At 38.8% G+C, this 26,595-nt stretch overlaps 1 long non-coding RNA gene across 5 annotated transcripts; it reads right to left on the reverse strand.

Annotated features, from left to right (window-relative positions):
• Positions 1 to 732: 732 nt before the first annotated feature.
• Positions 733 to 9,533, reverse strand: LOC105373594 (uncharacterized). Of its 5 annotated transcripts, none has more exons than XR_923289.3 (4): positions 8,959 to 9,533; positions 5,337 to 6,226; positions 4,431 to 4,517; positions 733 to 856 (listed from the first exon to the last, which is right to left on the reverse strand). It is a non-coding gene; the product is annotated as an uncharacterized LOC105373594 (long non-coding RNA). The 5 variants fall into 5 exon arrangements; XR_923288.1 differs by lacking the exon at positions 733 to 856 and adding an exon at positions 2,102 to 2,137; XR_923291.4 differs by lacking the exon at positions 733 to 856 and having other exon boundaries at positions 4,353 to 4,517; positions 6,086 to 6,226.
• Between the last annotated feature and the right edge of the window lie 17,062 nt (positions 9,534 to 26,595).

Consider the following 26,595-nt stretch of genomic DNA (forward strand, 5'->3'; position numbering starts at 1 on the left):
TGTCAGTTTGAGCTCTGTTTCCAGAAAATGAGCATCTTTGATTTTATGATATTTGAAATTATTGCTCTGTGTGTGCACATATATACATGTAATTTATAACTAAATGACCTTCTTTTGTTTTCATTTGTGTGTATCCCTTTGCTAGGGCTGCTGTAACAAAGTACCACACACTGGGTGGATTAAGCAAGAGCAACATAGTGTTTCACAGTTCTGGGGGCTGGGAGTCTGAGATCAAGAAGTTGGCAGGGCCATGCTTCCTGTGAAGGACCTAGGGCAGGAACTGTTCCAGGCCTCTCTCCTAGCTTCTTCTGGTGGTTTCCTGGCAATCTTTAATATTCCCTGGCTTGTAGATGCATCACCCCAATCTCTGCTTTCATGTTTTTGAGGTATTCTTCCTTTGTGCATGCTTGTTTCCAAATTTCCTCTTCTTCTCAGGGCACCAGTCATATTAGGGTAGGGGCCACCACACTCCAGGATGACCTCATTTTAACTAATTCCATTCCAACAACCCTATTGTCAAATAAAGTCACTTTCTGTGGCACTTGGGATTAGAACTTCAATATATGAATTTTCAGGGTGTGGGGACACCATTCGACTCATGCACATGATCTTCATTTATTTCACATCTATACATTATATATAATTATTTATTTTATGTATGTTATATATCATATGTATATATCACATGCATACATGCATTTCCTTACCATCACATTACAGTCTACTAGATTATGTCCTTAAGTGTCATGCTTTTGCCTTTATTCATTAATAATTATATCCCCAGTTTGTCAGTACTCAGTGCTGTATCTGTCACACTGTACCAATGCAGCAAATGTTGTTGTGAATACACAAAATTCTAGAGAAAATAGAAAGGGTGACAAATAGTTATGAATAGGTATGGGAACGAATGGGTATAAGGATTGTGTAGAAAGATGTGGGGAATAAATACTCACACCTGCCTAGTTTGGGCAATTGTACCTAAAGACAACAATTCTGCTGGCTTCTCTGTGACTGGTAGGGTAAGCCCTAAGCACATGTTCCTGCAGTGTAAGGGGGATATTGGGGAAGGCCTCCGGTTTCAAATTCCCTTTGCTTTATGCTCTGCAAGTTAGCGCACATCAGTTCACTAGTTTGAATGAGATTCCAAGCAGCCTTCTGACAGCTTCCCAGTTAGGGTCAGTCCCTTTTGGATCCTATCAATGATGGCTACTCCATGGTACCTGGAGAGGGCTTGCTCTGAACCACTCAATCAACCACCATGTGTCACACTACCCTCATTGACAAATCCACTCTCATTCCATATTTGGGATTATACAATTTTAGGAATTCTTATTCCTCTCTTTGTAAAGTCAAAGATTTATTTATAAATTATCTGCAAAGCATTCCTCAGCAAGCATGTCCTTTTTGCAATGCTGTAGCATAACCTACTCGGTCAAGTTCAATTTAACATTTTGTGCCATCATTTTCTTAGCTTGAAAATGTCAGCCATTTTCTACACAAACTTGGCATTCTTCTGGTTCAACACTTCTGTGAGCTTAAGGCAATTACTGCAGCTGTGTTACTTTATTCAAATGTAGCATACAACTCAAGCCAAAGATGTTCCTGGTGGACAAGGTCTCCTATGACACTTTACCTATAAATTATCATATTCTTCACTTACAAACCTTACACTTATATTACTATTTTAAAGTACTAAATATTTTCAAATCCTATTTTTTAAATAAACCCAAAGACAGGACTATAAAATGCTATGGAAAGGGAGAAAAGAACACTTAATAACAAGCAGATGTCCTCACTGTATCCTATTCTCTTGGTATTTCCTTTTACATATGTCATCTTATTTATTCATTAAAACAACCATGCAGGCTGGGTGCAGTGGCTCACGCCTGTAATCCCAGCACTTTGGGAGGCTGAGGTGGGTGGATCACAATGTCAGTAGTTCGAGACCAGCCTGGCCAACATGGTGAAACCCCATCTCTTCTAAAAATACAAAAATTACCCGGACCCGGTGGCATATGCCTGTAATCCCAGCTACTTGGAAGGCTGAGGCAGGAGAATCTCTTAAACCCAGGAGGTGGAGGTTGTGGTGAGCCGAGATTGTGCCATTGCACTTCACCCTGGGTGACAGAGTGTGACTCTGTCAAAAAAAAAAAAAAAAGCAAATTAAGTGTTACAGAGCAAGAAATTGAGTATCAGATAGGACAAAATTAATGTCCCTTGGATTCACAACTACAGGGCAGAGATGGGATTAAAATCCACAAGCAAAAGCCATCTAAGCTTCGTTGCATTATACCACAGTTAGGAGTATTTCATTCTGAGTTTGAATGGAATATGGTAAATATTGTTAAACACAGGTAATACATGAACGATCTGCAATTTTAGAGGACGTTTTAATAAACTACCTAAGGACCTACAGCCCTACAGCCAGGCCGTGGTAGACTCAAGGCCAATATTTGCCTACCAATTAAAATAAAATCAATTCAATGTGTATTGTTAATAGCTCAAAATTTCCATTTAACACAGCTTTTACTATTCATATATAAAGGTGAAATTGTGTTTGATAAAATTGTCTTTATATCTCTTAATAGAAAGATGATTTGTTTTTCCTATTATAGCTAGTGCTGAAATCAGGCCTATTAACAAAAATGAGCTGCAGTCACAGTTTTAGTAAATAATACACTCTCTTGAATGTACTTTGAGAGGAAATATATTTGGAAAACAGCCCTTTATCATTTCTGACATGATGTAAACATGTCACCACTCTCAACTTGTGCACTTGGCTCCAATTTCTGAGAGCATTTCATTCTTTTTTTAAAAATTGGTTACATAAAAGTAAAGTACCTTGATTTATGCTTGGTTTAATTAGAGAGAAAATGAAAGAGGCAGATTGACAAGGAAAGAAAGTTATTGGAGTAGCTGGACCAGGAGGGGCAGATGCCACATTTGCTTGAGGCCACTGGGGAGAATGAACCCCCAACTCAGGTCTAAGCAGTACTTTTTCCATTTGTAGGAAAAAAAAAACAAAGGAGCAAACCAAAAGTTAGCAAGTTGTGAGGGACTCTCTGGGCTCTGAGATTGGAAGTAGGTTGCAGCAGGAAGGAACTCGCTAAGCGCCCTAGTCTCTGCATGTATTTGGGACACACATCTCCCTTCTTGGTTAGAACATTGCTATCTCAGCTGACTCTTCTATCTGCTTTTCCCTTGAATTCTAAACTTTGTGTTTCTGGCGTTTATATGTAGTAGTTAAAATAATGAGGTCGAAGCCAGTGTTCTGCTGCAAATCTTGACTATCCTACTTCCAAGCTTTATGAGCTTTGGTAAGTCACTTCGCACCTCTAAGCACTAGTTTCTTCATCAGTAAAATGGGCGTAATAATGGCTACCTACTCATGACTTAGTACATTAAGATACTGACAAACTTCATTTGTAGCAATTGTTAAAGATATTTCTAATGACAACATAATGCCTGCTGCAGTGAAAATTCAAGATGAATCCCTCAGCTGAGTGCTGTGCTGCTGAGGAAGATCACACAGCCATCCTAAGTAGCTTCCTAGAAAAGTGTAATATAAGCCAAAACTGGCACTCAGTATCATCAGGATATCTTCTGTGTTTTTCTAGAAAAATCAGTTTATATTCTCAAAATAAATACTGTATTATGACTGTCTTCACAAAACTGCTGTACTACTCCTCCTGGCTCTACTCTCAAGTATGACATTGTTCAAATGATATTGAGAGAATAGAAATCCATACACACTATCTTTCTCATTTTCCTGTTACCAACTGGTAAGTCTCCCTGCTCCTCAGCCTTTCTTTCTTAATCCCTACTACAAAATAGGAATTGTTCATTCCCCTATCAAAGGTCAGTTTTTCCATCAAGGGCCTGTGTCTCACACCTTCCTGCTCTGTTGGGTTATCCTCTTTCTCCTGAAACATATGCATGCATATTTCTGTTGGATAATTTTCAATAGGACAAAGACATGCTCTGGTACCATTAATATTTAAAATGAAAAACTCCAGTGTGGTATCCAGGAGAAAAGTAAATAAATAATAAATAAAATTTTAAAAAACACAAAACAACCCATTCTCTTTTTCCTTCATTCCCATTTGATTACTGTTTTATGTTTTTGCTTTAAATTCAGAGAAATTTTTTCCAAAGAGGTTTAATCTTCCTGCTATCCATTCCCTACTAAACCAATTCCAACAGTCTTCTTCTTGCCTCACTCCATTTGTTCGTTTATGTAGCGAATGAACAGGCTAAATCTATGCTAGGCTTTAGAGCTGCAATAGTAAGCGAGACACCGATTCTTCATGGCAATTATATAGTCTAGAATTAAAAAGGATTTTAAAAAGTGATCACATATAATCTTTTATTATAGAAGATATTTACAGGACAGAAACCATTAATAAATATAGATAGTGACCGAGGTTCACCTGGAGAAGACTGTAGGGCCTGTGGGAAAAGCTCACTGGAATCCTTCTGGCACAGGGAAGTGAAGTTCTGGGTTTGGTTCCAGGTCTCTGTGGAACGTAGGGACAGACACTTTAGGTAATGTGGATCTTTTCAAAAACAGAAAATATTAACAGTTTAATAAAAAAGAGGACCTAGTCAAGAGCAGAAGAAACAGTATTCAAGGAAGGGCAAATGAGCATATGCCAAGACCTGATGGAGGAAAGTTTGAACGATCAGGAATTATGACCAAGACACTTAATAATAATTTGGAATGGAAGAGTGAAGACAAAAAATTAGTTGAGAATATTTAATGCTTTCTTTTTTTAAGAAATAGTCCTACTTATTAGGCTTTCTGCTGTGGTGGTGAAAGCAGAGATGGAGGTGTATACCTGGAAGAGATTTCATTTTTCTAGATAATTATAGAAGCTAAATCATGAGCTCATCACTCTAGTTTTTTGTATGTTTGAAAATTTTCATAATTCTTAAAAATTATTTTGTACAAAATCATCATGTAAATTTTGAAATACCTCTGAGATATCCAAGAGGAAACATCTCATAGAAGCACTATGTATATTCACTAATGTTTCACGGTGATACAATGATGAGAGACTTACATTTGTAAATTATATTTACTGGAATGTTTTCGATCACCTCGGGAGGTTGTGTTGGGAGAAGAGAGACAAGTAAAGCAAGACTGAATTCTGAGGAATACTGTACAGACATTCTGCAAAGAAGACTCTGGGTTAAAACAGCTGGTGAGGTCAGAGGAAACAGATATACGTGTGTTTATGAATAAAGACAGGAGAAGAAGGTGCTTTAAAAAGAAAGCACATTTCAGCAGTGTTGACTTTTGCAATGAGGTTATGATGAAGCTGAAAAATACGCACTGAGTCAGTCACCATCGTTGTCTTGGGGACTCCATGTTAAAAAAATTCTTTTGGTCAGGGTAGTAACACTCCCTTTGCCTGGCTTAGAATTTAGTTCATCGCTTCTTTACTGTTCCAAATGTCCACATTTGCAGATGAATATGAGGTTATAGCAATTCTTCCATAGTAAGATAAGACCAATATCATTGCTCTCTTCTATAGCTACATAAAGTGTAGGTACCAGGGCCCTAACTTGAGTATAAGTTGTGAAGAATATGAAAACTGAGGTCCACATAGATAAACCCGAATGGCCTATGGGAAAAGCCCATGAAACCTCCTGGCACAGAAAAGTGAGGTTTCCAGGTTAAGTTCCAGATTTTTGTTGAAAATAATGACAATTTTTATTGTCTTTGTTGAAGATAAGTCCAGTAGAGGAAATTCTACTCAGGCTGTCTCATAGTAAGTGATTCTAGCACAGAAAATAGCACAGTGCCTAGCTCACAGAATATGATCAATAAAAAATATGTAGTGACTGATGCTTGCTGGTAATTAATCCTCAGTTGCAATTAAAACACACAACAACTTCATCAAGTATTTACCCATCGTAATTTTTTGGGCCTGGAAATGGAGACTTTTGAGAGGCTAATGACACATCCAACATCTCATAGTTACTAGCAGATTTCATGTTCTAAACAAATTGTTCTGACCTGTCAGGCAACAAGGAGGTAGTAAATTAGCCTTAAGATCATTATGTTACTTGAGTGTCATACATGTACTGGTATATTTCTCATTGTATTGAAGTTTGTTTCTTTTTTTTCTTCATCTCCAAATGTCCTCTGATTGCTATTGTTTCCGTAGCTGAGTCACGCCTGAGACATCTCACTGACTTTCTTTCCTAACTACTTGATAGTCTAATGAAAGGAAAGAGAGGGAGGTGAAGAAATAGAATAAGATAAATTAGTAACTTCTGGACAATTCTGGAAAACTGAAACTATAGGATTAATGTTCAGAGCGAAGTACAATAAATGGACCATAAGTCAAATATTTCATAATAATTCTGTAGAAAGTGACATTTGAAAACTCAAATTGTACAAAACCAAATCTTTCCTTCATGATGGCAAAGGGATGGGTCACACCTTAAATTTCTTCCCAGTCTCCATGCTATAGCCACACTCTATGGGGAAAAATAGCCGGGGGGGGCGGGGGTCATTCCATTACTTGAAATGAAAGACACCATTCTAAAGAAATTTCAAATTTCTTTACATTATTAATACATTATTAACCCTATACATGTTTAGCAATATCTTTCTCAAAGTTAGTAAAAGGAATGCACCATTATTTTGTGAGAGGGGCTGTGGAAAACAGTTCTTGCTTATTGGACATATCTGATGGGGAGAGGTCAGAGGTGTTAATGTAACCAGAGCATGTGCTTCTCTTATACAGTGGGATCCACGAGGGGGATAGATGACTGGTTGTCTGGTGAATGCAGTGTTACTTTTATTAGGCCATAAAAAGGAAAGTTTCAAGGCCAACTAATTGTATTGTTTGTCATAGCAGTGTCCCTGTAAAAGGAGCATATTTTCCAACCTCGGCCTGGGAAGATGCAACATGAACTGTCACTAAAATTAAGGAAACATCTCTAAATCAAACTAATTTAGACTAAATTTAGACTACATTTAGTCATCAGGTAGTTTATGGTGACCCCATTCTCTGCATGTGCTGAAAAACTATGGCTGTCCATCTCTCATAGCCTGGGCAGGTTTGCACAAAATGTATTTGTGCTAGAAATCCAGAAAAACAAACTACCACACACCAGCATAAAAATTGAAGCTCAGAAAAGTGAATTGAAGTCCTCAGAGCATCAGTTTTCTTACTGGTTGTATCCATTTTCTGGACTTGCCATAAAAGTTGCCACAAACTTGGTGGCTTAAAATCAGAGGAATGTGTCGTCTTAATGGTTTTTGAGGCCAGAAGTCCAAAATCAAAGTGTCATCAGAGTCACACTCTCTCCGAAGGCTCTAGGGGAGAATCCTTCCTTGCTCCTCTTGGCTTTGGGTGGCTCCTGAGAGTCCTCAGCTGTGACAGCCTCACTCCAGTCTATGCCTCCATTTTCACGTGTCCCTCTTTCCTGTGTCTGTGTGTCCACTCCTATTCTTATAAGGACTCCATTTATTAAATTTAGGGGCCACCCTAAATCTAGAGTGATTTCATTTCAAGATATTTAACTAATTAAATTTGCAAAGACCCTATTTCCAAATAAGGTCAGGTTCTCAGGTTCTGAGTGAACATGTATTTTGGGACTATTCAATCCACTACACCCGTAGATTGAGCTGGCAGTTCTTAACTTATAAGACTTATTGTGACTGAATAACTTTTCTGTAAAGTATTTGGTAGCTAATAGGTGATCAACAAATTCTTTGTTTTTAAGAATACCACTATAGTTATCTTTAATCCTGACCATGACTGTCTGAATATTCTCATTTTCTTAAATATATTAGTATGTTCAATTCTTACACTGGTCTAGGCATTCATTATGGAAGCAACCTGCTATATGTAAATAAGCATGATTTTAATCCTATCTAGTAGGCTGTGTGTTATAAATGATCCCTAGAAACATAGACATTCCGTTGTGGGAGCACGGAAAAGGGAGTGATGATTTCTGAGAAGATATGACTTGTAACTTTCCAATAACACTTTTCTAGAAGGGTCTCATGTTAAAATAAATAAATGTCAAACTAAACTAAGAGACAGCACTATAATGTACTAATTGGCTCCCAGATTAGGGCTCTTAACCATCAGGCTATTCTGCCTCCCAAATTAAAATTGGTAGCGGGACATGAATTTATTGTTTGAAATGAGCACAGGTTAAGTAAAATGAGAACTATGGAAAAACAATGACAGGAAGAACGGGAGAATTATACTTTGCTAACAGTAATAGTAAATAGTGAACATTTATTGTAAATAAGTTTAACAATACGCATTTAAGACAAATTTAAGAGCTTATATTTTTTGACCAGTAATTCCTTATTTAAGAATCTAACTTTGGAAATCATACAGGATTTGTAGAACCTTTTTACAGAAAGATACTCATTCTGGAAATATTTTTAACACTGAGATTTGGAAACAATATAATGCCCAACCTCAAAGGATTAATAAATTAAATTGTGATATTATCCTCAATTGAATACTATGTGGTCATTATAATTCATGTTTCAAAAGAGTATAATAAAATAGGAGAGTCCTGGGCTTTTACTCTGAGTGATGTTGGAAGCCATTGAAGGTGGAGGAGAAAGAAATGAGAAGAACGTTTCCAAACAATGAAGATGTCCAGCCAGTCATTGACAAAAATGTTCTGTTAATCATGGTGGATGGGAAGTAGGACTAGATTGCAGCTCTGTATAGATCAGTGTGCAGAGGCTCGCATTGTGAATTTTAGCTCCAGGTTGACTGCAAGAACAAGCCAGCAATCCCGAGAGTACCCACAGACTCTCTGAAGGAAGCGAACTGTTTCTGCAGTACCCAAGAGACACCACAAATACTGTCAGTGCCCCGACGCTGGAAGTGGTAAAGGGAGACCCCCCTCTCTGGAACACACAGCCCCACTGGAGAAACTGAAGGTCTCTTTGTGGGAGAAGTTTCCTACCTTCTCTGGAGTTGAATCCATTTAGAGAGCTGAGCAAAATACAGGGTTTGAGGAAGCAGTAGAAAGGCCCTGGGAGCTCACTGGGTGCCCAAACAGGCCATTCCTGCTTGGCACCACAGGGATCCATTGTGAGGGTGGCCAGAGGAGCAGGTGTTGAAACTCCACAGGAAGAAAGAAATCTATAGTTGAACTTTGTAACAATTTGAACAGGGCGAGAAGCCTCCTGGCCAGAACTCATGGGAGGGCACAAATCTGTTGTGCAGACTCCACAGGCAGGGGAAGAACCAAGCCCTTTTTTTCCATAGTTGAGAGGCAGGTAGCCTGAGGCAAGTTTTCAAGCCCATCTTGCCCACCACCTGGAAACAGGCTCCATGAGAACTGCTCTTTGGTTTGCATGGGAGCTGGGTGAGGCCTATGACTGCCGGCTTTCCCCCACTTCCCTGACAACCTGCATGACTCAGCAGAGGCAGCATAATCCTCCTATGTACACAACTCCATTAACCTGGGCATCTCACCCCTATCCCCCACAACAGCCACAGAAAGACCCACACAAGGAGAGTCAGAGCTCAGACACACCTAGCCCCACCCCCAACTAATGGCCCCTCCCTATCCACCGTGGTAACCGAAGACAAAGGGCATATAACCTTGGGAGTTCTAGGACCCCCAACCCCCACCACTGGTCCCTATACATACTACTACAGCTGATACTCCCTGGAGCTGATTCCTCCTGGCAGGAGGCCAACCATCACAAAACTAGAGCATTAAAGCTAAGAACCCTCACGGAGTCCATTGCACTCCCCACCACCTCCACTGGAACAGGAACTGGTATCCATGGCTGAGAGACCAATAGACGGTTCACATCACAGTACTCCGTGCAGACAACCCCCAGTGCCAGCCCGGAGCTGAGTAGAGTCACTAGGTGGCTAGACCCAGAAAAGAGACAACAAACACTGCAATTTAGCTCACAGGAAGCCACATCTATAGGAAAAAGGGGAGAGTACTACAACAAGTAAACACACCCATGGGACAAAAGAATCTGAACAACAGCCTTCAGCCCTAGAACTTCCCTCTGATAGAGCCTACCCAAGTGAGAAGGAACCAGAAAACCAACCCTGGTAATATGAGAAAACATACCTCTTTAACAGCCCCCAAAATCACCCTAATTCACCAGCAATGGAGACAAACCAAGAAGAAATCCCTGATTAACCTGAAAAAGAATTTAGGAGGTTAGTTATTAAGCTAATCAGGGAGGCACCAGAGAAGCGCAAAGCTCAATGCAAGAGAATCCAAAAAATGATATAAAAGTGAAGGGAAAAATATTCAAGGAAATAGATAGCTTAAAGCAAAAACAATAAAAAATTCAGGACACTCTGAACACACTTTCAGAAATGCAAAATGCTCTGGAAAATCTCAGCAATATAATTGAACAAGTAGAAGAAAGAAATTCATAGCTCAAAAAGAAGGTCTTCAAATTAACCCAATCCAAGAAAGACAAAGAAAAAATAATAAGAAAATATGAAAAAAGCCTCCAAGAAGTCTGGGATTATGTTAAATGACCAAAACTAAGAATAATTGGTGTTCCTGAGGAAGAAGGTAAGACTAAGGAAAGAATCTTAAGAGCTGTGAGGCAGGAGCACCAGGTAACCTATAAAGGAAAACCTATCAGATTAGCAGCAGATTTTTCAACAGAAACCCTGCAAGCTAGAAGGGATTGGGGCCCTATCTTCAGCCTCCTCAAACAAAACACTATTCAGCCAAGAATTTTGTATCCAATGAAACTATACATCACATATGAAGGAAAGATACAGTCTTTTTCAGACTAACAAATGCTGAGAGAATTCACCATTACCAAGCCACCACTACAATAACTGCTAAAAGGAACCCTAAATCTTGAAACAAATCCTGGAAACACTCAAAACAGAATATTTTTAAGGAATAAATCACACAGGATCTATTACAAAAATACTAGCTAAAAAGCAAAAAAAAAAAAACCAAAATACACAGGAAACAAAGAGTATGATGAATGCAATAGTACCTCGCATTTCAATACTAACATTGAATGTATATGGCATAAATGCTCCACTTAGATATATAACCGCAGAATGGAAAAGAACTTACCAACCAATCATCTGCTGCCCTCAGGAGACTCACCTAACACGTAAGGATTCACATAAACCTAAGTACAGGGGTGGAAAGAGGCATTTCATGCAAATGGACACCAAAAGCTAGCAGGGGTAGCTATTCTTATATCAGACAAATCAAACTTTAAAGCAACAGCAGTTAAAAGAGACAAAGAAGGACATTAAAGGCCTTGTCCAAAAGGAAAATATCACAATCCTAAACATATATGCACCTAACACTGGAGCTTTCAAATTTATAAAACAATTACTAATAGACCTAAGAAATGAGATAGACAGCAACATAGACACCAATAGTGGAGGATTTCAATACTCCACTGACAACACTAGACAATTCATCAAGACAGAAGGCCAAAAAAGAAACAATGGATTTACACTATGCCATGGAACAAATGGACTTAACAGATATGTACAGAACATTTCATCCAACAACTGCAGAATACACATTCTATTCAATAGCACATGGAACTTTCTCCAAGATTCACCATATGATAGGCCATAAAACAAGCCTCAATAAATGTAAGAAAATTGAAATTATATCAAGCACCCTTTCAGACTACAGTGGAATAAAACCGGGAATCAACTCTAAAAGGAATCTTCAAAACCATACAAATACATGGAAATTAAATAACCTGCTCCTGAATGAGCACTGAGTCAAAAACAAAATCAAGATGGAAATTTAAAAATTCTTCAACGTGAATGGCAATAATGACACAACCTATCAAAACCTCTGGGATACAGAAAAGGCAGTGCTAAGAGGAAAGTTTATAACCGTAAATGCCTACATCAAAAGGTCTATAAGAGGGCCAGGTTCGGTGGCTCATGCCTGTGATTGCAGCACTTTGGGAGGCCGAGGTGGGTGGATCACCTGAGGTCAGGAGTTCAAGACGAGCCTGACCAATATTGAGAAACTCCGTCTCTACTAAATATACAAAAAATTAGCCAGGCCTGGTGGCACATGCCTGTAATCCCAGCTACTCGGGAGGCTGAAGCAGGAGAATCTCTTGAACCCAGGAGGCGGAAGTTGAGGTGAGCTGAGATTGCGCCATTGTACTCCAGCCTGGGCAACAAGATTAAAAAAAAAAAAAAAAGTCTGAAAGAGAACAAACACACAATCTAAGGTCACACCACAAGGAATTAGAGAAATAATAACAAATCAAACCCAAACCCAGCAGAAGAAAGGAAATAACCAGGATCAGAGCAGAACTAAATGAAATGGACACACACACACAAATATAGAAGGTAAATGAAACAAAATGCTGGTTCTTTGAAAAGATAAATAAAACTGATAGACCATTAGCAAGATTAACCAATAAACGAAGGCAGAAAGTCCAAATAACCTCAATAAGAAACCAAACAGGAGACATTACAACTGACGTCACTGAAATACAGGATATCATTCAAGGCTACTATGAACACCTTTATGCATATAAACTAGAAAACCTAGAAGAGATGGATAAATTTCTGGAAAAATACAACCTTCCTAGCTTAAATCGGGAAGAATTAGATACCCTTAACAGACCAATAACAAGCAGCGAGATTGAAATAGTAATTTAAAAAATACAAACAACAACAACAAAAAAAGTCCAGGACCAGACGGATTCCCAGCAGAATTCTACCAGATATTCAAAGAAGAATTGGTACCAATCCTTTGACACTACTTTACAAAATACAAAAAGAAGGAACCCTCCCTAATTCTTTCTATGAAGCTAGCATCACCCTAATACCAAAACCAGGAAAGGACGTAATCAAAAAAGAAAACTACAGACCAATATTCTTGATGAACCTACATGCTAAAATCCTTAACATTATGCTAGCTAACTGAATCCAACAACATATCAAAAAGATAATTCACCATGATCAAGTGGGTTTTATACCAGGGATGCAGGGATGGTTTAACATATGCAAGTCAATAAATGTGATGCACCACACAAACAGAATTAAATACAAAAATCACGTGACCATCTCAATAGCTGTAGAAAAAACATTCAACAAAATCCAGCATCCCTTTAATATTAAAACTCTCTCCCAGCTACTCGGGAGGCTGAGACAGGAGAATCTCTTGAACCCGGGAGGCGGAGGTTGCAGTGAGCTGAGATTGCACCATTGCATTCCAGCCTGGGTGACAAAAGCTAGACTTTATCTAAAAAAAAAAAAAAAAAAAAAAAAAAACCAGCTCTCAGCAAAATCGGCATACCAGGGACATATCTTAATGTAATAAAAGCCATCTATGATAAACCCACAGCCAACATAATGCTGAATGTGGAAAAGTTGAAAGCATTCCCTCTGAGAAGCAGAGCAAGAAAAGGATGCCTACTGTCACCACTCCTCTTCAACATAGTGCTGGAATTGCTAGCCAGTTCAATCAGACAAGAGAAAGAAATAAAGGGCATCAAAATTGGTAAAGAAGAAGTCAAACTGTCACTATTTTCTGATGATATGATTGTTTACCTTGAAAACCCTAAAGACTCCTCCAGAACACTCCTAGAACTGATAAAGGAATTCAGCAAAGTTTCTGGATACAAGATTAATGTACATAAATCAGTAGCTCTTCTATACACCAAGAGCAACCAAGCAGAGAATCAAATCAATAACTCAACGCTGTTTATAATACCTGCGAAAACAAAAATAAAATACTTAAAAGTATACCTAACCGAGGAGCCTAAAGACCTCTACATGGAAAACTGCAAAACACTGCTGAAAGAAATCATAGACGACATAAACAAATAGAAACACATCCCGTGCTCATAGATTTGTAGAAGCAGTATTTTGAAAATGACCATACTGCCAAAAGCAATCTACAAATTAAATGGAATGCCCATCAAAATACCACCATCATTCTTCACAGAATTAGAATAAACAATTCTAAAATTCATATGAAACCAAAAAAGAGCCCAAATAGCCAAAGCAAGACTAAGCAAAAAGCACAAATCTGGAGGCATCACACTACCTGATTTCAAATTCTACTATAAGGCCGTAGTCACCAAAACAGCATGGTACTGGTATAAAAATAGGCACATAGACCAATGGAACAGAATAGAGAACCCAGAAATAAATCCAAATACTTACTGCCAACTGAATTTTGACAAAGCAAACAAAAATATAAAGTAGGGAAAGGACACCCTTTTCAACAAATGATGCTGGGATAATTGGCAAGCCACAGGTAGGAGAATGAATCTGGATTCTCATCTCTCACCTTATACAAAAAGCAACTCAAGATGGATTAAGGACTTAAATCTAAGACATGAAACTATAAAAATTAGAAACCAAACCCTTTAGACATTGGCTTAGGCAAGGATTTCATGACCAAGAACCCAAAAGCAAATGCAATAAAAACAAAGATAAATAGCTGGGACCTAATTACACTAAAGAGTTTTTCATGGCAAAAGGAACAGTCAGCAGAGTAAACACACAACCCACAGAGTGGGAGAAAATCTTCACAGTCTATACACCTGACAAAGGACTAATATCCAGAATCTACAACAAACTCAAATCAGTAAGAAAAAAACAATCCCATCAAAAAGTGGGCTAAGGACACGAATAGACAATTCCCAAAAGAAGATATACAAATGGCCAACAAACATATGAAAAAATGTTCAATGTCACCAATGATCAGGGAAACAAAAATGAAAACCACAATGCGATACCACCTTACTCCTGCAAGAATGGCCATAATAAAAAAAATAAAAAAACAGGAGATGTTGGCATAGATGCAGTGATCAGGGAATGCTTCTATACTGCTGGTGGGAATATAAACTAGTACAGACACTATGGAAAACACTGTGGAGATTTCTTAAAGAATTAAAAGTAGAACTACCATTTGATCCAGCAATCCCACTACTGGGTATCTACCCAGAGGAAAAGAAGTCATTATGCGAAAAAGATGCTTGCACAAGCATGCACAATTCACAGTTGCAAAATTGTGAAACCAACCCAAATGCCCACCAATCAACGAGTGGGTAAAGAAACTGTGATGTATATATATATATAAAATATATATGTATAAACTGTGATATATATATAAAGAAATATATATGATGGAATATATATATACATATATATATATATGATGGAATATGGTGAATATGATGGAATACTACTCACCCATAAAAAGGAATGAATTAACAGCATTTGCAGTGACCTGGATGAGATTGGAGACTATGATTCTAAGTGAAGTAACTCAGGAATGGAAAAGCAGACACTGTATATTCTCACTGATATATAGGAGCTATGCTATGAGGATGCAAAGGCATAAGAATAATACAATGGACTTTGCGGATTTGAGGGGAAGAATTGGGGGGAGGTGAGGGATAAAAGACTAGAAATATGGTGCAGTGTGTATGGCTTGGGTGATGGGTGCACCAAAATCTCACAAATTACCACTAAAGAACTTACTCATGTAACGAAATACCACCTGTACCCCAATAATTTATGGAAAAATAAATAAATAAAATAGGAAAAATTACTTTCACTCTCAACTATGTGTAGCTTAGATTGAGTGTCCCTAGAAGACCCTGAGACAAGAATTTGTGCAAGTTGTTTATTTGAGAAATGATAGTAACAAGCACAGTAAGAGAGGCAAAGAAGTGAGACAGACAAGGGAAAGATGCCACTAAAAAATGGTTTAAAAAAACCCCATAAAACAAAACAACCCCCCCAAAAAAGGCTATGTTTTTTCCCAAAAATATATCATGTTTATTGAGGTATAACATACAGGGTTAAATAAAGGGTTTTAGTCCCATATACACAGTCACATAACCACAATCAAGATGTAGTATAATTTCTTCACTTATCAAAATGTCCCACATTCTTGCTCCTGATAGTCAATCCCCCACTCCCTGGAGAACACTGATCTGTTCTTTGTCCCTCTATTCTTGCCTTTTCCAGAAAGACATATATATGGAATTATACAGTAGCCTTTTGAGTCTGGCTTCTTCACTTAATAAAATGCATTTAATATTGAACAATGTTGTCGCATGAATCATGTTTTCTTTTTTAATTTTTAAATTGTTGAGCAATATTCCCTTGCATGAATGCACTACCACAGCAGTTGCCATTCATCAGCTGAAGGACAGTTAGGTTGTTTCCAGTTCTTGGTGATTATGAACACAGCTGCTATAAACATTCATATGGACATAAGTTTTCTTTTCTCTTGAGTAACTAACTAGGAATAGTATTGCCAGGACATATGGTGGGCATATGCCTAAACTTATCAGAAACTGCTCAGTGGGCAACTGGGACTCACTCCTCCTGGAGACTTCTTGTAGACTGCACAAAACTATGCTTCACAGTTTTTCCATTCAAGGGACCAGGAAGCTGGGGGATTCATTTGTCCTCCAACTCTGCCATTAGTTGAAGGTTGCTCTCAAGAGTATTAACCCTAGAGCATCTATGGCCCATCTGGTACAGAATATGCATGTTCTAAAGGACATAGTAAAACCTAGGTTAGAAGTTGAAGCTGTTTTCAGTAGGAAGCCTTGGGGTTGATATGCACAGAATGTTGAGGCCTGCCAGCACCTTCTACATCATGTGGGGAAACATGTTGCCATTCAAATTCTAGTAATAATTATTTTTGTGGGGGTGTAAGGCTTTAACAGGAACATGACTTTCCCTTGTCTCAGAATCCTCAAATATAAGAAATCTTATGTTAGTATATTTTGTAAATAATCACAATAATACTGATTATTACCGTGAGAGAGTTTATGAAGCACTTACTATCAGGGAACTATCATTATCTCTGTTTGCCCAGGGTGATATTGCTAGGAGATAGTGAAGCCACTATTCAGTTAAGCAGCCTGGTTTCAGAAAAGGTACTTCTAACCACTATGTTATACTATATAATCCTGTTATAACTTAGGTTATGAGAATTTCTACAAATAAAAAAAAGAGAATAAACAAGAGTTTGTATATAGGTCACTGAACTGTTCATATATAATAAAATAGTAAACAAAATGTAATGTTCTACAAAATACTGTGCTTGTGTGGTGGGTTGTAGGGATTTTGCTTCTGTTTCCTTGTTTTGGATAAATTTAATTTAAAGATCATGTGTTTGTCTATGGAAAAATATTGAAATTTTACTTTTTTAATGTAAAGAATGTGTGTTTTTTAATTAAAAAATTTAAATGGACTATTAATAAATTATAATTATATATATTTATGAGGTACACATATGTACAATTATAATTTATTGTATATATCATGTTCACTTATACATATGAGGCTAAGACATATGTATACAAAGTGGAATGATCGACTCAAGCTGGTTAACATATCCATCACTTCAGATACTATTAAATGATGGTGGGAAGAGGTCAAAATAACATGGGGAAAACTGAAAACTGAATCCTGATTCTGCAGTTAAGAAGCAGTTGTAATGGTGAGATGTCAACTGCCAAGAGACAAAGGCAGAGAAGTATTAAACTCTCTGGGTGCTGTGTTCTTTAAGAGCATCTGTCTTTGCTGGAAAGATTGATTCTGGCTTGCAGGCAGTCATTACCACAGTGTCCAACATCAAAAAGCCTCCTTGCTCTACCCCCAGCAGTTCATCGATTCTGGACAACCCTGGGTGGTCTTGGACTCTTACCAGCATCTGCTTAGCCTCGAAGCCCCTCCAAATCTCACTTTGCCTCCACAGGCCACATTAAGTTCAAATTAACGAATTCCTCTAGGCAGAACTTTTTCAAAGAGTTGAAGCCAAAATAAAAGTTAATGAATTCCAGCAAAGGCAAAAGACCTCTGGATAGATGTTTTGCCCTTTTTATTCATTGAACTCATGCAGTTTTTATTTTCTCAGTTTTCTCTGTGTAAAACTCTCTGTTCCACCAATGTTTCCAAAATTAATTTTGACCTTCTGGCAACATTTTAATTTCACATGCCCCAGTAGATTCTCTTTATTCAACAACTTATTTCATATATTCATTATTCCTTTTAGAAAATAGCAGTATCGTGCTCAACATAAGTATTCATTATATGCCTAATTACACTGAGAACTGTGCACAGAGACAAGAGCCTGGTGCAGAGGAAGGAGCACTTGTCTGAGGGGAGCCGACCCAGCCTCATGCAGGGCGGCGAGGCTGAAGTGTAACCCTGAGGACAGGGGGCGAGGCAGGAGCTGAGGACAGAGAGCTGACTTGGGACGAGGTTGCTCAATGCCCTGGGTAACATGTGAAGGAGTTTAGATTTTATTCCTGAGCGTGGAAGAAAACCATCTCCTCCTCTAATTTTAAACCTTCTTGAGGGCAGGGCATGTGTAATTCTGAATATCTCTTAGTATCTTCTAGTAAGTGTTGAGGACAAGTTATCATTAATAGCAACTACTTATATATTGTGGCTCAGCACCTTCCAAATACCCTAACAACACCATCCCCAAATCTTCACAAAACACTAAAAGTTGCTATCATTTAATTGAATGTATGGATACTCAAAAATAAGACTCAGAGTAGATGAGTTGCAACTGCTTTGTTGAGTATCTAACGTGAAAGATGTAGAGAGAAGCAAGACCATTTTATGAAATTGTCACTGTCCCATAATAGATTAGAGTAGGTTCTAACTCCAGCTTTTCCCTTCTCCATGCTTGTGACTTTTGACAAATCAGTTTTTTACATATCAATGGGCATTTGTTAAAAATCTCCTGAGATTGAGGCATGATGCTTGGTTCTACGATGGAGAGGCAACAAAAACAGTCTTTACTCTCAAGGGGCTCATGGTCTTGTAGTAGAATTAAAATTTACAAGCAAGTAATAGTAAATCAATGTGAAAACTACATTAATAAATGTATACAATTTATTAAGGGACAAATTAACTCTACAGGGTTTTATAATAAGCTGACATGAAAATGACTAATGGTTTGCCAGGCAGAGGAGAATGAGACAGACATTCCAAAAAAGAAAGAATATCCACAAATCCATGGATGTCCAAGTGTGAGAAGACTGGTCCGCCCAGATCATGTGGGCACTTATAGCCTTCAATCACTGTCTTCACCTCCAGTCTACAGATGTGTGGCTGTTAAAATGGGTTCCTGGGAACCCCAGACGTCCTGCCAGTGTTGCAAACATAACCCTGTGAGGCCCAGCATTTGCAAGACCAGCAAAGAGAGGTGATAAGCAGACAAAATCCAGGCCTCTCATCATATTAACTGTGTGACATTGGGTAAGGGTCCAAATCTCTCTGTGCCTCAGTTTCCACCATATGTGCCATTGGGAAAATAAGAGTAACTATATCACTAGGTTGTTGAGGAGATAAATTATTTGAATATATGTAATGTTTTTGGAACAAGGCCTGGTGTAGAGTAAATTTCATGTAAGTGTTAGCTAATTTTATGATGCTAATCACACTTTAAACAGAAGGAATCTTCTTTACCTATTTTATACCTTCAGCTTTCATATAAGATATATTTTGAAAAAGTGTTTGCACAAAATCTTTCTAAAAAATTTTAATATAACCCCTATAGGTCCATTCTTTCAACAAATATGTAATGAGTATCTTTTTGTTCCAGGCAATGTGCTCGGGATAGGGCAGCAACACATTTAACAAATACTTCTGCCATCATGGGCTTTCTTCTGAATGGGGTAAATTAAAAAGTTATATATATATATATGTGTGTGTGTGTGTGTGTGTGAGAGAGAGAGAGAGACATTATATTGTGTTAAAATATCTGAGAAAAATAATAAAAATGTTGGAGAAATAATGCTGTGAGTGGGGTGTTCAACACCAAGTAGGGCTGATAGAGAAGGCCTTGGTAGAAGGTGATGTCTGGGAGAAGTCACGAAGCAGGTGAGGGAAGGAGTTAGTAGATTCCTGGGCATGGTGGGAGCAGGCCCTGTGTGTTGAGGAGCTGCCAGAAGGCCAAGGAAAGCAGGAACGAATGACATGAAGAAGCATCAGGGAGGGAGGGACCGGTAGCCAAAGGTGAGAGGCTATACAGATTGAGGTAACATTGGTAACTTGGAAGACTCAGGGTTTTATTCCTTGAAGATGGGGAAGATGGGAAATTACAGGAGGGTTTGGAGCAGAAGCATGACATGGGTGATTAAGGTTTTATGCAAATACTAGGCTGTGAGTGGTTGGTGGGAGCATAGGGGTATCCCAAAGGCTAGGAAATAAGTTACTCAGCAATTCACAGAAGAGACCATGGTGGTTTTGATGAGAGTGGTAGCAATAGGAGTAGTGAGAAGTGGTGAAATTCTTGGTAAAATTTCCAAAGGTTATATAAGGTTGTATATAGTGAGACTGTGGCAGAGTGTATCCATTAAAATCTTTTTTGTTGTTGTTGTTGAGACAGAATCTCGCTCTGTCACCCAGCCTGGAGTGCAGTGCTGCAATCCCGGCTCACTGCAACCTCTGCCTCGCGGGTTCAAGCGATTCTCCTGCCTCAGCCTCCTGAGTAGCTGGGATTACAGGCGTGTGCCACCACGCCCGGCTAATTTTTGTATTTTTAGTAGAGATGGAGTTTCACCATGTTGGCCAGGTTGGTCTCGAACTCCTGGCCTCAGGGGAGCTGCCCACCTCTGCCTCCCAAAGTGCTGGGATTACAGGCGTAAGCCACCAAGCCCAGCCTAAAATCATTTTTAACTGATGCCTTTGGCGCTTCCATTTCTGGGAAATTGTTCAGTAGGTTCCTGATTACCTAGTCAAGAAAGGGTTATGGGAGCAGAGCAGGGTCTGGCTCTTATTCCAAGCACAGGTGCAGCCCAATGGTTTTCCTGTCTTTAGACAAGAATGCTTAGTAATTCCCTTGCTTAAATTGTTCCTCCATCTCTGTCATTGAATAGAATCTGACCCTGAGTAATGTGACTTAATGAGGGCAGTTTGACTGTGCATTCAAAGAACCACTAAATATATGTTTACTTTATATTTAGTCTCAGCCATTATGCATAATTATATTTAAAAGGGCACTGAATAGATAAGTTACAAGCCACAACAGGTGTGACTGGAGAAACACAGAGAACGCACATAAAATCTGGGAGAGAGAGCAGGTTACATAAATTTCCCATCAGGGCAGAGAAATATAAGGTATATTTGAACTTTGAAGCCAATCAGTGTGCAACCAGGTAATTACAGGCAGCCTACACCAGGATGGGAGATGCTGGAGTGTGAGCTTGGGAATGCCCCCATAACTCATTCATCTTCAAAGTGCCCTTGGGGGCCCGGCCTCACCAGCCAGGAAATCCAGGATCGTCAGTTGGAATTATATCAACATCTGAGAGGCCATGGAGGGAATGAACCTCATTTACCATGATTAAAGCAGATGAACTGCAGGTTTAGCTCTTCTCCATTAAATTCCTGTTAAACTTGAGAACTTCCACAGGCATTATCTTATTAATAGGCAGGACAGTCATTAACAGGTGATGAAAGGAGGGAAGAAATGACTGTGAAATTTCTGAGAATTTAAGAATGTCTGCTTCATGTACAGTTAAGAAAGAAACTAACATTCAACATTTTTATCAGGAATTTGCATGCATTATTTCATTCATTTCTCATATCAAATCTGTTCTTTATTGGCATCAATCTAAATAAGGATACTGACGGAAAATTAATATAAAAATTATTTTAGGCCCACGTTGAGGATTGAAGCCTGGGAAATACCTGGAAATGGCTTCATTCAGCCTTCGTTACAAGCAGGTTTTTAGAAGTGAAAGGGAATAAAGAATGTGCTGATACAAAGTTTTTTGTTAGGAATTTTCAATGGTTTACAGAAATAACATTGATTAGTGATTGGCTATACATTTTAGAGCTCTGGGTTATGAGTTATGGTGTCCAGCGTATGGCATTGTTAGGTTAATTTATGGCTACTTGTCATCAAGTAATCCAGAGCCCACCCAGCAAGTGGCTTCAAAAGGTGATTACTTAGCTCAAGGTTGGGGTGGTGGGGAATGAGACCTCACTGCTGTCTCACCTTAATGGCCCTTTTCAGATTGCTCAGATAATAGTTTCTTCTCTTTCTCATAAATAAAGGAAGAGAGACTGAAAGAATCTTAGTAATTTTCTAGAGGTGGTATTTTCTAGATTCAGAATGAACTACACAAATATTGAGTCCCCTGTTATTTCCACACTATCATTTGTCCTCCAAAAGGTGAAATGCATTGTCTGACATCATATTTTAGTGACAGAGCCTGTCCTTGTACCAAGGTCTCTTGTGGTTTTCTCTATAGTCTCATGCCAGCTGCCTAGCTATGGGCCCACAGAATCAAAGCCTGGAGAGTTCCTATGAAGACCTAGATAACCAGGTTTCAACATAGCTCTGTCTCTGGAGTGAGTGGTGAAGGAAGGAGGGGAGCAGACCACGTAGCCGACTTCTCTATTTGCATTTTTTACTTATTGTTTTGTAGTGCAAGCATCAAACACTGGAAGCGGCTGAGCATTTTTCTCTAAGTATGGCGAAAGCTTGCCTTTTTTCAGGTCTTCTTCTTCTTTCTCATTAAATCACTTTGGTCTCACACAACAAAATAGTCTTCAGGGATGGCCTTAGGCAAAGCTGTAAAATCTATCCTCTGTTCCCAGAACTTCTCCTTGTTTGTCCTCTCTCTCATTCTGTGAATCTCTCATCCTCTTCTGATACTTAGGAAATTTCTCTCATACAAGCTCAAAAAAGGATCCAGATCATTGTATGCATGAAAACAAGGCCTCATTTGCAATTCAAAGGGCAGGCCAACTGTGATTATGCCTCTTATGTGTTGTGAATCCAATGAAGAATTTTAATAAAAGTTCTAAATTGAGGCATAGCCACATTCTAAAAGCAATGGAGAATGATTTGTGGGACATGAAAACGTGTCACCCTTTACCATTGCTTTCTTTAACGTTATTCAGTTAAGTCTTAATTCTCAAGTTTCTATATTTGATTTTTTTCAAATTATGCTCCAACCTATAGACTAAATGGACTCTCTGTGGCTGAGATGCTCAAGGTAAAGCAGAACCAGGCAGCCACAGCAGGATGAGGGGGTCATCATGCATACTGTGCGCTCGGAAAATGTTGCAAAAATGTCACAAGACATCCCTTCCTGCAATCAAGCCAAACTGAAATAGGCTACAGCTGGAAATTCCCAAACAGACCAACAATTGTCCACCAAGAGTCAGCCAACAAAGAGAGACCTGTGGTTTTACACTTACAGGTCATCCATTCAAGGCTCTGTTCCTCACTCCCCCAGGCCCCTTCCTCGGCCTTTCGCTTTTTACCTTTATAATCTCTAACTCTCCAACCCTTCCTGGGAGTGCACTTTCACTTTATCCCAAAGGCTACTCGTCTCCAATCTATAGGTCACTGTCAGAAAATAAAGCCCCTTTCTGCCTCTGTAGATCTCATCTTTTGTTAATAGCTTTAATATTCTAAAAAGAAGATTCACAAACACCTAGACCCGTGGCTGAACTAAGTTTAAAAGACGATTGATTGAGTGTTGTTTTCTGGATCCAGTTGAAGTGTGTTACTCACCTACTGAGCTAGTAAGAATTCCCCTAGGAAGAACAGTAAAAATGAAGAAAACCTGAGCTCCAGAGTCAACGTAGCTGTGATAGGCTCAATAATAGCCCCTCCACAGTTGTCCACGTTTGAATACTAAAAACCTGTGAGCATATTACCTGACATGGCCAAAGAGGCTTTGCAGATTTGATTAAGTTAAAGATCTTGAAGTGGGGAGAAAATCCTAGATTATGTGGATGAGCCCAGTGTAATTACAAGAGTCCTTATAAGAGGAAAGCAGAAGAGTCAGATCCTGAGAAAGGGAGAGGTGACGACAGAGGCAAAGATCAAAGAATCAGAGAGACAGACGTTTCAGATGTCATGCTGCTGGCTTTGAAATTGGAAGAAAGGTTTGCAAGCTAATACGTGCAGCCTCTAGAAAAGACAAGGGAACACTTTTTTCCCTAGAGCCTCCAGAAAGAAGGCTACTCCACTGATACCCTGATTTTAGGACTTCTGACCTCCAGAGCTGTAAAAGAATAAATCTACGTTGTTTTAAGTGACTATATTTGTGATCATTTGCTACAGGAGCAGTAAGAAACTAATACAGTGGTCGGTGAAGATGATCTTCCCTAGTAATGGTTAGTATTTGAGGCAATTAGACTTTGTAGAGTTGCAGCTGTTGTAGGGGAATATTATAAGATCGTGTTAGAAAATACTTCAGGAGAATAAGGTGAAAATGCCCACGGCGTGTACCAGCAGGCTCCAAAGCCTTTGAAAACAGAAATGGTAGCAGTAAACAAACGGCACTTCTTGGAGTAAATATTAGCGTTCTATTAAGGGCCTTAAGATTGTAAATTGTCACATTCCACCAAAATGCTCTTTTTTCTCCTTCTCTTTTTAAAGGTTTGTCCAATAGAACATAAAACTGTGACGCTTGAAGATAAACGTGACCTTGACCAGCCCTGAGGTGAGCAGTGATTTCTTTCAGGTGTCAATCCTCAGCAAATGCAAGAGAAATATTAACCTGTGGCAAAATGTGTGCTGGTGTGAAAGAGAGAATGATGTTTCCTGAAGAATCTAACATTTTTTCTCCATGTGTAGAATTCAATCAGGCTTATGATGAGCAAAAAATGAAATAGTTCCCTTCTCTCTGTAGAAGAAGGTGATGATTTTTTTTTTTTGACTTACAGTGCATGCAACCCAGATTTAAATCCAGGAAGAAACAAAATTTTGTGTTCTATAAAACATTTTGGAAAAAGAAAAGTGCTACTGTAGGTAACATGCACAGTGGTGTCCTGGGACCCCCAGGTCAAATCCTTTGCATCCACTCCTGTGTTTTGCCACGCCCTCACTCCATCAAAAGTCTGCCACCACCATCCTCCTAAATGCTGTAAATGAAAGTAGCATAGGGTGCCAAGACTCCCAAGATACTCTCCTTTACTTGTCCAATCATTATCCCAATTCCAGCTAAATTCCTTAACGGGCATAACTGCCTAAGTCAAATTTAAATGTAAAAACTTACATGTGGCCAGTGGCATTTTATCGGACAGCACTGATCTAAACAAATATCTGGGATTGGTTTTCTCACCTTGTTCACTGGGTTGGAGGAGATGGTGAAGAACAGCCTCAAATCTCCCAGGACGGACATTATTTTCAGAAAGGGGGCAGATGGAGGGGGAAGGAACAGCTCGTCTATCATTCTTTCTCTCCTACAGTAATTATGCCAAGATACAAAGTTATAATTTCTTAGAGTTCAACAGGAGTCCAAAGACTCCTGGTCTTTCTTTGTGTGAGCCAGTTGATTTGCATCCTTTCCAGGCTACATAAACACAGAAGCCCACAGGGCAATCCAGCTGTGTGTATTACCTGAGCCGTGGGGAGGGATGCTGTGTGATCACCATTACCTGTGAGAAACTTGCCTTACTATCTTCTTCCTACTGTTTTTGCTGTACTTACCCAGCAGTTGCCAATTAGATGGGCCTCACAAGAGTAAAAATCGTCAGGTCAACTGTGGTTACAACAAGAATCCTTGCATGGAGATGCCATAATTTTAGACGCACCTATCATGGTGGAGGAAAGGTGACCTTTGGGATGATTGTGTCTCACTGCTTTACAGTTGGGAAAGCAGGTCAAAAGACAATAAATTACTTGTCCAAGATCCCATGGTAAGATTGTTCCAGAAGCACATACATAAGCTGTCTGTACTACACCTATCCTGAAATTGTGCTCTCTCTGCAAGGCCATTTTCTCTAGCAATTTGCAAGAACTGTAGGAATGTTCTTGCTCAAATATGAAGCATGGACGTTCTTTTTATTGCCCTCAAAATAAAATTTTTCTTTATATCTTCTGTTACTACCACTGAACAAATGTTTTCCACCTACTCCCAAAGTAAAGGAAGATAAAAAGAGAAGTTAGAAATAATTGCATTACAACTACCACTATTATGACTACTATCATTTCCGCTAATGCTACATGAGAAATTCTTTCTATAAAGTACATTATTTAATTATATTAACAGCCCTATGTGGTAGGTATTGTTATCCCCAATAGTCCCCCAAAAGAAGCAAAGAAACAGAAAAATTAAGTAATTTATATAAGTTCCCAGAGCAGGTAAGTAGTGATGTTGGGGTTTGATCCCTAAGGTAAGTATTCCCAAAGCTCGTTATTTTCCAATAATGTGTTTGAATATGTTAAATACCTTCACTTCAGATCTCTCCCTTCTTTCCCATCCTCATTCTAATTTTGTAGAGTATTGGTCCGTCTTTGAATATATAGAAAAACAGTTCTTATTAATATTTTACTAAATGTAATCAACTGATGCTATGTATTTCCAGTTTCAAATGAGTTGAACATAATTCCTTTAAAAAGAGTGGCTTGAAAAGAGTATCAGAATGAGTCAAGTGACCTGCATTTCTCTTCCGAGCTCTATTCCAAACAAATCACAAGCAACAATAGGTTGTTTTTGTACAATTTCAGAATTTGTCAATATCTGTGGTCTCAGTTGAATGTTTCTGGAAGCCGAATCAGACACACAGCAATCAAAATCACCAGGGAATGCTTTTTCAGCATTTTATACCTGCATTCTCCAATCCTCTAATCCCCAAG

The sequence above is a fragment of the Homo sapiens genome, chromosome 2 (assembly GCF_000001405.40).
Source record: "Homo sapiens chromosome 2, GRCh38.p14 Primary Assembly".
NCBI lineage: Eukaryota > Metazoa > Chordata > Mammalia > Primates > Hominidae > Homo > Homo sapiens.